General features: G+C 42.3%; 1 long non-coding RNA gene across 1 annotated transcript in view; it reads right to left on the bottom strand.

Moving 5' to 3' along the window:
- Window positions 1–363: 363 nt before the first annotated feature.
- LINC00908 (long intergenic non-protein coding RNA 908) overlaps window positions 364–15,197 on the bottom strand; it is a 31,173-nt gene continuing 16,339 nt past the window's right edge. Inside the window, 1 exon segment of the long non-coding RNA NR_015417.1 lies at window positions 364–2,216. This is a non-coding gene — a long non-coding RNA (long intergenic non-protein coding RNA 908).

Genomic DNA, 15,197 nt, shown 5'->3' with positions numbered 1-15,197 from the left:
TTTCTCTGACTCCGTAGTTCCTTTTTAGTTTATTTTGAGACAGGCATTTTGAGCACAAGCTTATCTAAGGGCTATATAGAGATTATCATGACTGATGACACTTCTAGATGTTGTCACACTCATACACACAATGCACACACACGTGCACACCACGTGCTTTCCAACAGCTCATCTTGTCAAGTTGGGATGATAATTGCACGTGTGAAGATGAAAAACAGTAATGAATATAAAGTGTTTAAAGCTGGGCTGGGGCATAGAAAGTGTCTGATGAATGTTAGCTATTATTATTGTTGTTGTTATATTATCATTTTATTACTCTTTTGTAGTATGTTTTTTTCGTTTAATTATGCAATGACTACATAATGAGGAAAAGTTGCTCATTTTATTCTGAATATCTCCTTGACCCACTTTCATTTGCATTCAGTCCCATCATATTTGACACACATTTGGAGTGGCATTCACCCCACCGAATTCTCACACGCTCAGGTGTTCATGCGCTTCCTCATTTACATACGTAATGACTTTCTTGTCCACCTACACACCCAGCGCTGTGGTAGGGGCTGGAAAAACCAGCTTGAACAGTTCCCCTCCTGCCCATGAGCAGCTTCCGGTGGGCACACCCATGGGGAGTGACAATGGGATTGTTCATCGCCAATGGAAAGGTGACCTCAGGGCCACGATCATGGGAGGTTGTGAGGAGGACGACGGCTGGGCGGCCCCTCAGAGGCAGTAGCCTGTGCTGAGGTGCAGAGGCCAAGGAGGAGCAGCTGGACTTCAGACCGATGAAACCGGTGCAGCGACGGGGCTGCAGCGGCAAGAGGAGGCTGATCCTGGCGTGGGCGGCAGCAGGAGGAAGCCCTGCAGGGCTGGGCTTGGTTTCCCAGCAGTGCTTCCAGGGGAAACAGGACCAAGCCCGGTCCATGGGCCGGTGCTTAACTGGAAGCTGAATTTTTGCCCAATGAACTAATGCCAAGAATCAGAGAGAAAATCATCCATCCATGGCATCTCTCTCCTGTGGTGACAGAGGTTTAACGGCAGGTACTCCCTACTCACCATTGGTGAGAGGAGCTGATCCCCACAGTCAGGAAGTGAGCCTAAGGCACAGAGATGAAGGAAGTCCCTTAAAAAAGGATAAATGATGAATGACTTTGTAGGGAAAGAATGTCAGAAACCAGAGGCTGTGCTGGCTTAATTCTTGTCATTAAGAAATGAGTTAGCAAACCAGTTCCTTAAACATTTAGATTATTGTGGGAAAAGAAACCATTAGGGGGTTGGAGGGAAATGGAAAGTGCTAGTCAGATACGGTATTTGCTGGCCGGGCGTGGTGGCTCACGCCTGTAGTCCCAGCACTTTGGGAGGCTGAGGCGAGTGGATCATGAAGTCAGGAGATCAAAACCATCCTGGCCAACATGATGAAACCCTGTCTCTACTAAAAATACAAAAATTAGCCAGGTGTGGTGGTGCGTGCCTGTAGTCCCAGCTAGCTACTTGGGAGGCTGAGGCAGGAGAATTGCTTGAACCCGGGAGGTGGAGGTTGCAGGGAGCAGAGATCACGCCATTGCACTCCAGCCTGGGTGACAAAGTGACACTCTGTCTCACACACACAAAAAAAAGATATAGTATTTATTGCTAGGGATGATAGAAATGTTCCAAAATTGATTGTGGTGAGAGTTGCAGAACTCTGAGTATACCAATCATTGTTGGATTGCACACTTTAAATGGGTGAATTATTTGGTACAGGAATGATTCCAGCCACACCATTACTAGAGAACAGGATGTCAGGTGTTTTCCTGGTGGCCCCCCCCGAGGCTGCAGTGACATGTAAGAGGCACCAGTCAGGCTTCTGCTCCTCTCACGGCTCTTGGGGCCACATGGTCTTGGTGTGTCCTCCCTTCCCTTCCACTACAGAGGATCGATGATTCCTCCGCATCCAACCACAGAACCCAAGAGAAGGCGTCCGTGGATAGGACCATCACGGTAGTGCAAGAAGGGGCACGTGGACCGCGAAAGGCCATCAGGGTCGTCTTCAGGATTCTTCAAATTGAAGCCCAAGGGGAAGACGTTCTCTTCATGGATCATAAGCTGGGAGCCAGCGGATCTGCTATCCAGAGCAGGGAGAAACTCCGTCAGTGCTCCCTATCACTCCTGGGGTCACTCGACCATATTCTCCCTCCTCTTTTTTTAATGTAAGCTGGTGCAAATGGAGTTTCTGTCACCTGCAACCAAAAAGTCATGAGAGAGGTAGTATCACGACGGGCAAAGACCGATTCCAAAGCCAGTGTAACACCGGACTTCAAGGTGTCTCGCTTGTCAATTTCTGACTTCAAAACTTATTTATTTATTTGTTTGTTTGTTTGTTTGTTTTTGACAAAGTCTGAATCTGTAGCCCAGGCTGGAGTGCAGTGAGGTGATCTTGGCTCACTGCAACCTCTGCCTCCCAGGTTCAAGCGATTCTCCTGCCTCAGCCTCCCAAGTAGCTGGGATTACAGGCGTGTGCCACCACGCCAAGCTAATTTTGTATTTTTAGTAGAGACGGGGTTTCACCATGTCGGTCAGGCTGGTCTTGAACTCCTGACCTCAAGTGATCCACTCACCTTGGCCTCCCAAAGTGCTGGGATCACAGGCATGAGCCACCGCACCTGGCTCAAAAATTTTAATATAGCAAACTTTCATGTACTGGGAAACTATGTTCCGCATTTATTATTTTGATACACTTAAAAATGTTGCTGTAATTGAGAACTACGTTTTCAAAAACCACAAACAATAACAATGTGAAGCCATGAGTAGGCTGAGCAGTGAGGTGGAAACAGCTGAAGCATGGACAGAAAAGTCCAAAGATCAGATTGAGGAATTCTCCCATAAGGCAAAAGGAAAGGATAGAGATACAAAATAGAAAAGAAAGGCTAAGGGAAACGAGGATAGAAATGCCAACATCCAGGGCTGGGTGCGGTGACTCACCTGTAATCCCAGCTACTCAGGAGGCTGAGGCAGGAGGATCACCGGAACCCGGGAGGCGGAGGCTGCAGTGAACCTAGACTGTGCCACTGCACTCCAGCCTGAGCAACAGAGTGAGACTCCGTCTCAAAAAACAAAGCAAACAGACAAAAAAAAAAACAAGCAAAGAAGTGCCAACATCGGGATGATAGGAATCCCAGAAAGAGTGACAAAATCCGAGAGGAGAAAATTTTTTAAACTAATGAAGATATGTTTCTGAGGGGAAAAAAAGGCTGATAGAATAAAAAAGACAGGACAGGGGTAAGGAAAAACCCATACCTAGACATATTGTAGTTAATTTAATATAACCGATTGCAAAGAAAATATTCCAAGAGCTTCCATAAGTAAAGAGCAGCTCACCTGCAAAGGAACAAGACCCAGACTGCCATTCGATTTCCCAACAGCGACACTGAATGCAAAACAGTACAGCCATATATATATATATATATATATTTTTTTTTTTTTTTTTTTTTTTTTTTTTTGAGACAGAGTCTCGCTCTGTTGCCCAAGCTGGAGTGCAGTGGCGCGATCTCGGCTCACTGCAAGCTCCGCCTCCCGGGTTCATGCCATTCTCCTGCCTCAGTCTCCTGAGTAGCTGGGACTACAGGCGCCTGCCACCACGCCTGGCTAAATTTTTCTTGTATTTTTAGTAGAGACGGGGTTTCACCGTGTTAGCCAGGATGGTCTCGATCTCCTGACCTCATGATCCACCTGCCTCTGCCTCCCAAAGTGCTGGGTTACAGGTGTGAGCCACCGCGCCCAGCCATAGAGCCATATTTTTAAATAATTGAAGGAAAAGAAATTTGAACCTAGAATATTATTTCTAGACAAACTGTCATACGAATTTGAAGGTATAATAAAAGTACTCTCTCACATAGCTCTCAAATGGTTTGCCATACAAAGACTCATTTTTTGTGAGAAAACATTTTGGAGGAAAGCAATAAAAATAAGAGAAGCACAGCAGGTGCGGTGGCTCACAGCTGTCATCCCAGCACTTTGGGAAGTTGAGGTGGGTGGATCACTTGAGCCTAGGAGTTTGAGACCAGCCTGGACAACATGATGAAACACCATCTCTATAAAAAATAAAAAATAATTAGCTAGGCGTGGTGGTGTGTACCTGTAGTGCCAGCTACCTGGGAGGCTGAGGCAGGAGGATCAACCGAGCCTGGGAGGTGGAGACTACAATGAGCTTTAATTGTGCCACTGCAATCCAGCCTGGGCTGCAGTAGAATAAGACCCTGTCTCAAAAAAAAAAAAAAAAAAAAAAAAAAAAAAAAAAAAAAAAAAAAAGAGAGAAACAGATCCCTGAAAATTGCTATAAGAGATAGAGAATTAATGAAAACCAAATATTTTGGTAATATTCACTATTCAAGCAAACCCAGAATTTAAATTCTGGGCAGTATCAAAATATTAAAGGCAGATGACAATATGATAAAGTACTTTTCCTCTTAGGAGAAAAATGCAGATATTAATAAGTTCAAGAAGTCAGTAGGGATAAGTAAACATGAGACTATATCTTAAGATAAGGATAACAAGTATAAAAACAACTTCTAAACCAGCAGAAGAAAACTTGATCTATACAATTAAAATCAGGAACAAAAACAAAAAGGAAGAAATGAGAAGTTCAGTAAGTTAAAAATATAATAAGCTACCAGAAGTAAGTTTTTTAAATATGAGTAAATATAAGCATAAATAGGTTAAATCCACCGACTAAAAGACAGATACCGTCAACCTGGAGTTAAAAACAAGAATATTAAAGAAACACATGGAAGACAAAATGAAAAAAAAAAGTTAAAAAGAAAAAGAATGAAAGTTTATATTAAGCAACTATGAACCTAAAGAAAGTTGGTGTAGTAATCTTAATATCGGACAAAAGAGAATATAAGGCTAAAAAATACCATGAGGCCAAAGGATGATATTACAGACTGATGAAGGCAGCCTGAGAGCTGGAAGTGATGTCCTTCATGAACATCAGTGACAGCCTCAACACACACTGAGCCACGGGCAACAGTACGGCAGGGAGAAATAGTTAAATCAGTAATTGTAGTTGGAGACGTTAGTACATCTTTTTCAAAAATGGACAGAGCAAGAAGACAAAAGCTCAGCATGGATGTCAAAGATCCAAACAATATGATTAATATGCCGGAGCTATTAGAGATAAGAAGAACTCCAGACCTAAGAGAGTGCACGTGTTTGTGAACACACATGCGAGACATTGGCAGAAATAGGCCATGCGTTAGGCCACAAAGGATCGGTGCCGTTCAGATTAGGCTCTCTAACAATACTGCGACAAAAAGAAATGTCTAAAACAGTGATGGTTTTTTAAAAGTCCCTTTGCTTGGAAACAACAAAACAGCAAAAACATACTACTTAAAAAGAAAGTTAATTAATGTTTAAAACTAGGTCATAATGAAACCACTATACAATAAAAAAATGTGAGACATCATAAAAGCAGTGCTTAGGATGGATGGAATTGCTAGCCTCGAATACATTTATGAGGAAATGAAATTGCACTTAAATAAGCCAATTATTCAATTTAAGAAGCTGAAAAGGGAACAACACAGCAAAACTAAATAAAAGAGAAGACAATGAACATGAAGATGTAATTCAACGATACAGGCAACAAAAATACTAAAGGAGATTTAAAAAGCAAAGGCTGGTTATTGGAACAAATTAATGGGAGAGATTTCTAGCCAGACAGAAGAAGACAGGAAGAGAGATGACCCAGAGCTCAAGATGCACTAGGAAATAGGGGAATGTCTTTGGGCCCAAGGTATTAAAAAGGCCACTGTGAACAACTGCTAAGAACTTTGAAAAGCCATATAAAGAAAAAATGCCAAATTTCACACAGAGAGAAACATGGGAAATAAATAGACCAAAAGGTGTTTAAATAATTGAAATGAGCATTAAAGATCTCCCCTTTTCAAAACATCTCAGCCACAGATAGCTTTACAAGGGAATGTTACCAAACAGTACAGCTCTTATGCGATGTAATTTACATGCCATAAAGTTCGCCCACTTAATGCATACCGCTCAACGGCTTTTGTATATTTTGAGTTGTGCAATGTTAGCAGTCACTTCCCATTTCCCTCCCCAACCTCTCCTCCCCACCCCTAGCCTTGCACAACCACTAATGACTTTTTGTGTCAACAGATTTGTCTATTGTGAACATTTCATACAAATAGTATCATACTTTGTGTGTGTGTGTGTGTGTGTGTGTGTGTGTGTTTAAGAGACAGGGTCTCACTCTGTCACCCAGGCTGGAGTGCAGTGGTGCAATCATAGCTCACTGCAACATCAAACTCCCAGGCTCAAGCGATCTTCCCACTTCAGCCTCCTGAGTAGCTGGGACTACAGGTGTGTGCCACTGTGTGTGGTTAATTTTTAAATTTTTTGTATGGACAAGGTGTCATTATGTTACCCAGGCTGGTTTCAAACTCCTGGCCTTAAGCAATTCTCCCTCCTCTGTGTCCCAAAGTGTTGGGATTACAAGTGTGACCCACCACGCTGAGCACAATGTAGGTCCTTTGTGTCTGGCTTCATCACTTGGCGCAGTGTCTTCAAGGCCAAGTAGCATTCCATCTTGTGGATACACCATGTTATCCATATTGCCCATTCACTGGGTGATGAACATTTGGATTCTTTTCACCTTTTGGCTATTATGAACAATGCCGTTATGAATATTTGTGTATAAATTTTTGTGTGTACATGTTTTTTTTTTAATTTCTCTTTAGTATATACCTAGGAATACAATTGCTGGGTCATCTAATAACCCTATGTTTAACATTTTGAGGAACTGCTGATGTGTTTTCCAAATTGGCTGCACCATTTTTATCCCTACCAAAAACACATGTGTGTTCCAATTTCTTCACATCCTTGCCAGCACTCATTATTGTCTATTTCTTTCATCAAAGCCATTCTGGTAGGTATAAAGTAGTATTTCATTATGGTGGGGTTTTCTTGCTTTGTTTTTGTTTTTGTTTTTAAGTCAGGGTCTCACTGCTGCCCAGGCTAGAGTGCGGTGGCTCAGAGCTCACTGCAGCTTTAAACTCCTGGGCTCAATCCATCCCCTCTCCTTAGTCTCCCAAGTAGCTGGGATTACAGGCGCAAAACCCCATGTCCAGCTAATTCATTATAGTTTTTATTTGCATTTCTCTAGTGACTAATAATGGTCAGTTTCTTTTCATGTACTTGTTGGCTGTTGATACATCTACCTTAAATAAATGTCTATGTAAATCCTTTGTCCATGTTTAAATTGGTTGTCTTTCTATTATTGAGCTGTAAGAGTTCACTGTATGTTTTTGTTTGTTTGTTTCTGAGATGGAGTCTCACTCTGTCGCCCAGGCTGGAGTGCAGTGGCGCAATCTCAGCTCACTGCAACCTCCGTCTCCTGGGTTCAAGCGATTCTCTTGCCTCAGCCTCCTGATTAGCTGGGACTACAGGCACACACCAGCACACCTGGCTAATTTTTTGTATTTTTAGCAGAGACAGGGTTTCACCGTGTTAGCTAGGATGGTTCTCGATCTCCTGACCTTGTGATCCACCTGCCTCGGCTTCCCAAAGTGCTGGGATTACAGGCGTGAGCCACTGTGCCTGGCCCGGCTATATGTTTTGGATACAATTGACTTATCAAATATATGATTTACCAATATGTTCTCCCAGTCTGTGTGTTGTCTTTTCATTTTTAGGATGGCATCTTTTTTGAAGCACTGAATTTTTTTGATTTTGATAGAGTCCAATTTACCAATCTCTCTTTGGTCACTTGTGATATTGGTGTTATACCTGAGAAATCAGTGCCTAACCCAACATCACAAAGATTTATTTCCGTTTTCTCTGAAGAGTTTTATAGGTTTAGCTTTTACATTTATTTAGGTCTGTGACCCACTTTGAGTTAACTGTTGTGTATAGTGTGAGATAGGGGTCTAATTTCATTCTTTTCCCTGCGAATATCCAGTTGTCTCCCCACCATTTGTTGAAAAAATTATTCTTTCCCCATTGAAGTATATTAACTCTTTGGTCAAAAATCAATTGACCGTAAATGTTAGGTTTTGTTTTTGGACTCTCAATTCTATTCCATTTATCCATGTGTCTTCCCTTATGCCAGTACCACACTGTATTGACTACCTTAGCCTTGTAGTAAGTTTTAAAATCAGAAATAGGAGTCTTCCAACTTTGTTCTTTTTCAAGATTGTTTTGACTATTCTGGGTCCCTTTCATTTTCATACAAATTTTAAGATCAGCTTGCCGATTTCTGCAAAAAGTCAGCTAGTATCCTGAGAGGGATTGCAGTAAATCTGTGGATGACTTTTGAGAGTATTTCCATTTTAACATCAAGTCTTTCTGTCCATGGACATAGGGTGTCTTACCATATTTTTAGGTCTTTTAAAATTTATTTTCAACAATAATTTGTAGTTTTCAATGTACATGTCTTGCACTTTCATTTTTAAATGTATTCCTAAGTATGTTATTCTTGTTGAGGCCTTTGTAAATGGTATTGTTTTAAATTTAATTTTCAGATCGCCTATTGCTTATATATAGAAATACAATGATTTTGTACATTGATCTTATATCCCACAACATTGCTTAATTTGTTTATTAGTTCTAATTGTGTTTCCATGGTCTGCCAAACTTTTAAGAAATAGTTGTCTTCTCCTGTAGAATTTTTATTAGAATATATAAACAATAAAAAATTGCCTAGCTATTTTATATGAAGCTAGTGTCATCTTGATTTCAAAATAAGATAAAGGCAATGTAAAAACAGAAAGTACAGTTTCAAAAATCCTACATATAGAGTAATATTAATCAAGAGATTACAATATTATATTTTAAAAAGAATAAATCATTACCAAGAAGGGCTATTCCAGGAGTGCAAAGATGGATGAATATCAGAAAAGTAATCAATGCCTTTCTCCAATTAACTGATTGTAACAAAAAAATTAGATGATCTTCTCAAAAAGTCAACAATGCAAGAAAAGTTATTTAAGAAGGCCAATGCTCATTTATGACTTAAAAATGAAAGACATCTCAGCAACCTAGATCATAGAAGAAATTTACTTAGCAAAGTTTCAGATAAAAAATCTGAAGCATTTAAACATAAACAAACAACTTTAGCTTTGTTCTCTTTAAGTTGAGGTCCCCTATCCCCCCCCTATGTAGACATGATTGTGGGTATATAAGAATACTTTCTGGCATAATATAAGAATATAAGAATACCCACTATCATGTCTACATTTTAATGTAGTCATAGCAGCCTTGGTCAATACTATAATGAAAGAAAATAAAAATAAATGTTAGTGGGAGGAAAGTAATAAGACCTAATTGCACTTGTATGACTGGCCATCTAAAAATCAAGTATATTAGATATCGGTACAAGGTAGAAGCTTTAATTATGTTGTGAAATATAAAATAAAATAGTATTTCTCTATACTTGCCATGTACAACTAAAAATGAAAAGTTTAAAAGTAAAATTAATAATGAGAATGACAATTCTCGAGGAAGAGTGCATCCTTGAAGCTAGATCTTGGCTTCTAAATACCATTCTTCGATTAAAGGAACAGGGAAAGGGCTGATTCCAGGGCTGGTTCCAGGGCTGGGTAGGTGGAGCCCAAGAGGGGCTGGAACAGGTCGTAGTGCCAGAAAGTAGGGAAGTGCTCGGAGAATAACGATGGCACATCAAAGGATGCCAGAGCCCTCTCACATGGCCAAACCTGGAACAATTTCAGAAACTGCTATTTAATAAATAATGGCAGTAATGGATTATTTCCCATCCAATAACATTAATATCCATGCCTTCCTACCAACATAAAATATAATTGAATACATAATGGAGGAGAATCCACAGCTCTTCCTTATAGTAGTGTCACAATTAATGAATACGGAGGACATGATAGCTGCCTCAAGACCCCATTTTGCAAACACTACTTTAATAATTGTTGCAGGCAAGAAATCATCAACCAGTGCTAAATTAGTGGGCAAAATATGATGAGATACTGGATATTTATTTAAACACAAACTCTCTCTCCAGAGAAAATAGGCATCAATTTAAAAGAAACATGGCAGACGTCACCCTAACCAACTGATCAAACTAGATGAGAGTTGTCAAAATTATGTTCTCCTTAAATGATGCCCAGAGCAGGACATAGAATCACATATATGTAGGCCTCCCAGATTTGCCAAAGGAAAAATAGGGAAAGCCCAGTTACATCTGAATTTCAGATGAACAGTGAATACATTTTTGGTATGAGTATGTCTCATGTGATACCTGGGCATTCACTATTTTACTGGTCAAGCATAGTTATGCGGTAATCTTGTCAAGAATGTACAACCTGAATTCAATCATGAAGAAACATCAGAAAAACTCCCAAAGGGAGACATCCTACAAAATAACAGGCCAGCCATTGTTTCTTCAGTTAGTATATCCGTCCATGGTGTTAAGCTCATGAAAGGCACAGAAACACCGAGAAACCATCCCAGATGCAGAAGCCATGATCACTAAGGGCAATGTGTGGTCCTGGATCGGGTCTGGGACCAGAAGAAGGTGTGAAGGGGACAGCTGGTGAAACGTGAACACTGCCTGCGGATTCGTGAAGAGCGTCGCATCAGCGCTGATGCCCTGATTTTGATCCCTAAGCTGCATTTAAGCCGGTGACATTTGGGGAAGCTGGGTGAAGGGCATATGAGAAACTTTTTTGTTCTACTTTTGCACTTTTTTTGTTGTTGTTGTTGAGACGGAGTCTCGCTCTGTCGCCCAGGCTGGAGTGCAGTGGCGCGATCTCGGCTCGCTGCAAGCTCCGCCTCCCGGGTTCACGCCATTCTCCTGCCTCAGCCTCCCAAGTATCTGGGACTACAGGCGCCCGCCACCGCGCCCGGCTAATTTTTTGTATTTTTAGTAGAGACGGGGTTTCACCGTGTTAGCCAGGATGGTCTCGATCTCCTGACCTTGTGATCCACCCGCCTCGGCTTCCCAAAGTGCTGAGATTACAGGCCTGAGCCACTGCGCCCAGCCTTTTGCAACTTTTTAGTAAGGTTGGAAGTTATTTCAAAATGCAAAGTTAAAAAGTAAAAAAAGACTAAAGAGGTAAATGATCCGAACAAATCCCATCTTGCATGGGACAACTTAGTTTTCTCAATGGCTTCAATTGTCCTCAAATTAGTCTACAAATTCAGTGCAATATCAATCAACCTTCAAGTCGGATTCACTTAAGGAACTTATGAAAAAAATCAATGTTCATGAAACAGTAAGTCAACCCTAAAGAAACGTCATGAGGGGGTTTTCTCTGCCAAATATTACGTAAAATCCCAAATCAAATCCCAAATCAGTCTTGGATTGTGATTGTGATTGCTACAAGAACCAAAGGTCAAATGGGATAGGACAGAAGGCTCAGGGATGGCTTGAGGTTTTCCCACTGCCCGAGGAAGCCTCCTTTATGTAGGATACGTGATCCTGGACCGGCCCGGGTCTGTTTCTGAGTGGGCAGTTGGTGGCTCCACCCTGACGCACCACCAGCCATCCGAGGTATGTGAAGCACACACTCACCCCATGACCAAAGGCGTGTTTCAGAGCAGTGCATTTCAGAGCACGCATTTCCACAGAGGCCTCCACAAGGCTGTTCATGGAGCGAGGGTATTTACCCGAGTGCCTTTGGTAGTAGGGAGTTAGAAGCACCCTGCGTGTCCACTCTGGAAGGACAGAGCGGTCATTTTGGAAAGGATCAGTACCGGGGCACTCCTAGCAAGCGACAAGTCATATGTGTACACGTTCAGAAGGGGTGGACCCCAAGGGCACAATCCGGAGTGAATGAACAGGAAGCAAAATAAAATGTGCAACACAATACCATTTACACTGATAAAAAACACTCCAACACAAAACCATACACTTTTCCAGAAAACACAGGAACAAAAAGGCACTCAGGAGCACGGCTGCCGGTGTCAGAAGGGGATGGCGGTAAAGGGAAACCAGGAAATGTGTTCATCTGGGAGGAGACCCTGCACAGCCCACCGATGACATCATTCCGACCCGACCCCTGCCTGAGGACAAAGACCCGCTAACGTGACCCTCTGTTCAGGGAGAGTGGAGAGACACAAACCGTCCGGCCATACCACTGATAGTACAGGTTTTGTGACTTCAGACCTTGCATCTTTCTGGGAAGCCTCAGCACATGCGCACACAGGATTCTCTCAAATCTAAGGATGAACTGCATTCCAGTAAAACTTTAAGTAAAGGTGCCCTTGGCCAGGCGCGTTGGCTCACGCGTGCAATCTCAGCACTTTGGGAGGCCGAGGCAGGTGGATCACCTGAGGTCGGGAGTTCAAGACCAGCCTGATCAACATGGAGAAACCCCGTCTCTACTATAAAAAAAAAAAATTAGCCAGGCTTGGTGGTGCATCCCTGTAATCCCAGCTACTCGGCAGGCCGAGGCAGGAGAATTGCTTGAATCCGGAAGGCGGAGATTGCGGTGAGCCGAGATTGCACCATTGCACTCCAGCCTGGGCAACAAGAGAGAAATTCCATCTCAAAAAAAACAAAAAAAGAAGAAGAAGAAAATAAAAGATGCCCTTTCATGTCTAAGAAACTCCCAGTCTGGGGTTCTACCTGTCTTTTGAGAAACCTCGCGGGCTTTGCTCTCTTAGTTACCACATTAAGCTGCAGCTGGAGTGGTACGGAGGCAGGCCAGAGCTTCACAGCTGGCCTCGCTCACACACACACTCACGGTTTTACCCTTTGTACACACATGTTGGATCATTTCTTCCGTATACTGGCTTGATATACATTTACAATTTCTACCACGCTGTCTCGCTCTGCCTGATTACGGGATATTAGTGAAGTTTTCGTTCACCAGCTATTGAAATCTCAAGTGTATAATTAATAGGAGTTGTAAAGGTTTAAATCGATTTCTATCAGTATCTATTAGAGGATGAGCTGTATTAGATAATGCATCGCAGATTTCCCAGGCAAATGAGAGGGACTTTGCTCTCTGAGAAATGTCATTCTGAAGAGAGGTCGGAAGAGTGGAGAGTAAACAGCTTGAGAGAGCTGCAAGGATGCATTTCCTAGCCCAGAGGATGGTTACGTCTTTGAGTGAATGACTGAAGGAGACTGTGAGGTCCATTCTTGGAAGAGCCTTGAAGACAGGGGAGTGGAAGAAATAAACAGAGAGACAACCCCGATGCAGACTCCGCTTTCAGATGCTCTTCTCTCTCGGAGCAGCATTAGGTAAAAACGGCTCAAGAAATGCAATGGTATGGATGAACGCAGTGAAATTACATTACAATTATTTTTAATCATTTAAATTCCCTTCTTGTCTCATGCTTTTTATGTTAACATCATGTAGAATTTTGCTGAGGTGTGTTTTCCTAAGGTTTAGAATTCTGGTCAGTCTTTATATGTCAAGATTAATTGCATCGTTATGGGAAGCATACTTGAGACTCAAGTGCAGGGAGACAGAATGAAATAAAATTCTATACCATCCTGTCTCCTGATTTGTGCAGCAGCCTCGTAATTATTTCCAGTAAACCTTTTCCTCCCTACCCTTCTTCCCCTGGTTCATTGTTCGTAATAATGATAGCGTGGAAAACCCCAAACGAAGCTCACCAAAAAAGGAAAAAAAATACAGAAGAATCAAATTCACCCTCAGAGCTCTAAAAGAAAGAAAGAAACAAACAAAACAGAGCAATGCAACATCCTGGGACAACTCTTCCTGCCTCCTCACATAAGGTAGCCCCACCTCGACCCTTCCTGTCTCTCTCCCAAAATCCAATTATTTGTGACAATTAAGAGAACAAATGCAGAGGCATACACTTCCTTACTGCTTGCTCCTTGACTTCCGGCAAGGAAAAGCCAACGTATTAGAAGAGATGAGCATGAAGAAAGTAAGGAGGGGGCATTCTAATCGTTTCCATCTGGAAGATGTTCTTGAAACAGGGATCTGTGTCCCTGGTTCTTGCACATTTTAAAACAGAAGAAAACATGCCTCTTTCTGCCCATGCAATGTGATAATAGAAAGCAAACAAAGCGAGAAATCCATTCTATTTTCGCAAGCAGTTTACGGAATGGGGAAACCCATGACCCTCTGCCTCCTTTTTTTTTTTTTTTTTTTTTTGTGAATACGATTAAGACTGCTGGGAGATTTGGCTGGTCTTCCCTGCTCTGAAATGACAGGTTGTGGTCTTGGACTGCAGGCAGGTCACACCTTCAGAGCAGCTCCTAGTCCCGAACTGACTGCGCCCCTGTGAGGGCCACACCGATTTCCATAATGAGACGTGACAAGCAGTGCTACTTTAATCCTGCCTTTGAGGTGGGAATAGAATACAAAGCAAAACACACTCTGATTTCCTCACCAGGCCATGGGAAGTGGCTACACGATTTCAGCTTAACCTAGTTCGTTTTATCATGTGCCGCAAAAGATGCAATTTGTGGGAAATAACAATGTTAGAAAAACCTACGGATGTGAGGTTGCAAAATGGAAACGGAGCATGTGTGAGTTGTGTGCCTTCTGCGGAAAACAGGCCTATGCGTTGGAAAGGAGTGTTGGGCTGTTGGACTTGTGTGGGGCATGTTGCGCTGTGGATGTGCCTTGGTTGAGCTGCCCCCAAAGCAGTTTGCAGTGGCTCAGGTCTTCCAACACAGGGGCTGGGACACAGCTTGCCCTGCAGGAAAACATGGCACATTATCCCTTGTTTCCAGATACGGGTCTCTTTTTAACTTGTGGGTTGTCATAGCACCGTTTATTTCTTTCTTAAAACAGTTTTCTTGAATCACATTTAACTATTCAAAAACATTGCCCTGATACTGATCATTTCCTTAAACATTTAAATAGCCCAACTCACAGAGACTCCCCCTACACACACTTGCACCCGTGTGCACACACACAGATACACATGCATGCACACCCCCACCACGCACCACATGCACTCCCCCCCCCCACACACACACTTTCCTGCATGCACATGCATGCGCGCACACGAGCCCCCATCAGAGCCATGGTCTGATCAGCAATTGATGCTGAAGAAAGAACCCAAGAGAGGAAGCTACTGGCCCAGCGTCATCCTATTGACTCTTGAGAGAGTCAGGGTTGGTTTGCAAAACCATGCTTTCCACATTTTGCTGTTTTTCAACATTTATTGAGTGTTCTGTAGATCAGGCACTGTTAGGCAGCTTATGGGTAATTTCTTTAAGAAGAATAAGTAGAAAGGCAAATGCACAC

Source organism: Homo sapiens, chromosome 18, assembly GCF_000001405.40.
Source record: "Homo sapiens chromosome 18, GRCh38.p14 Primary Assembly".
Classification (NCBI taxonomy): Eukaryota; Metazoa; Chordata; class Mammalia; order Primates; family Hominidae; genus Homo; species Homo sapiens.
This window is presented reverse-complemented; position numbering and strand designations above follow the sequence as displayed.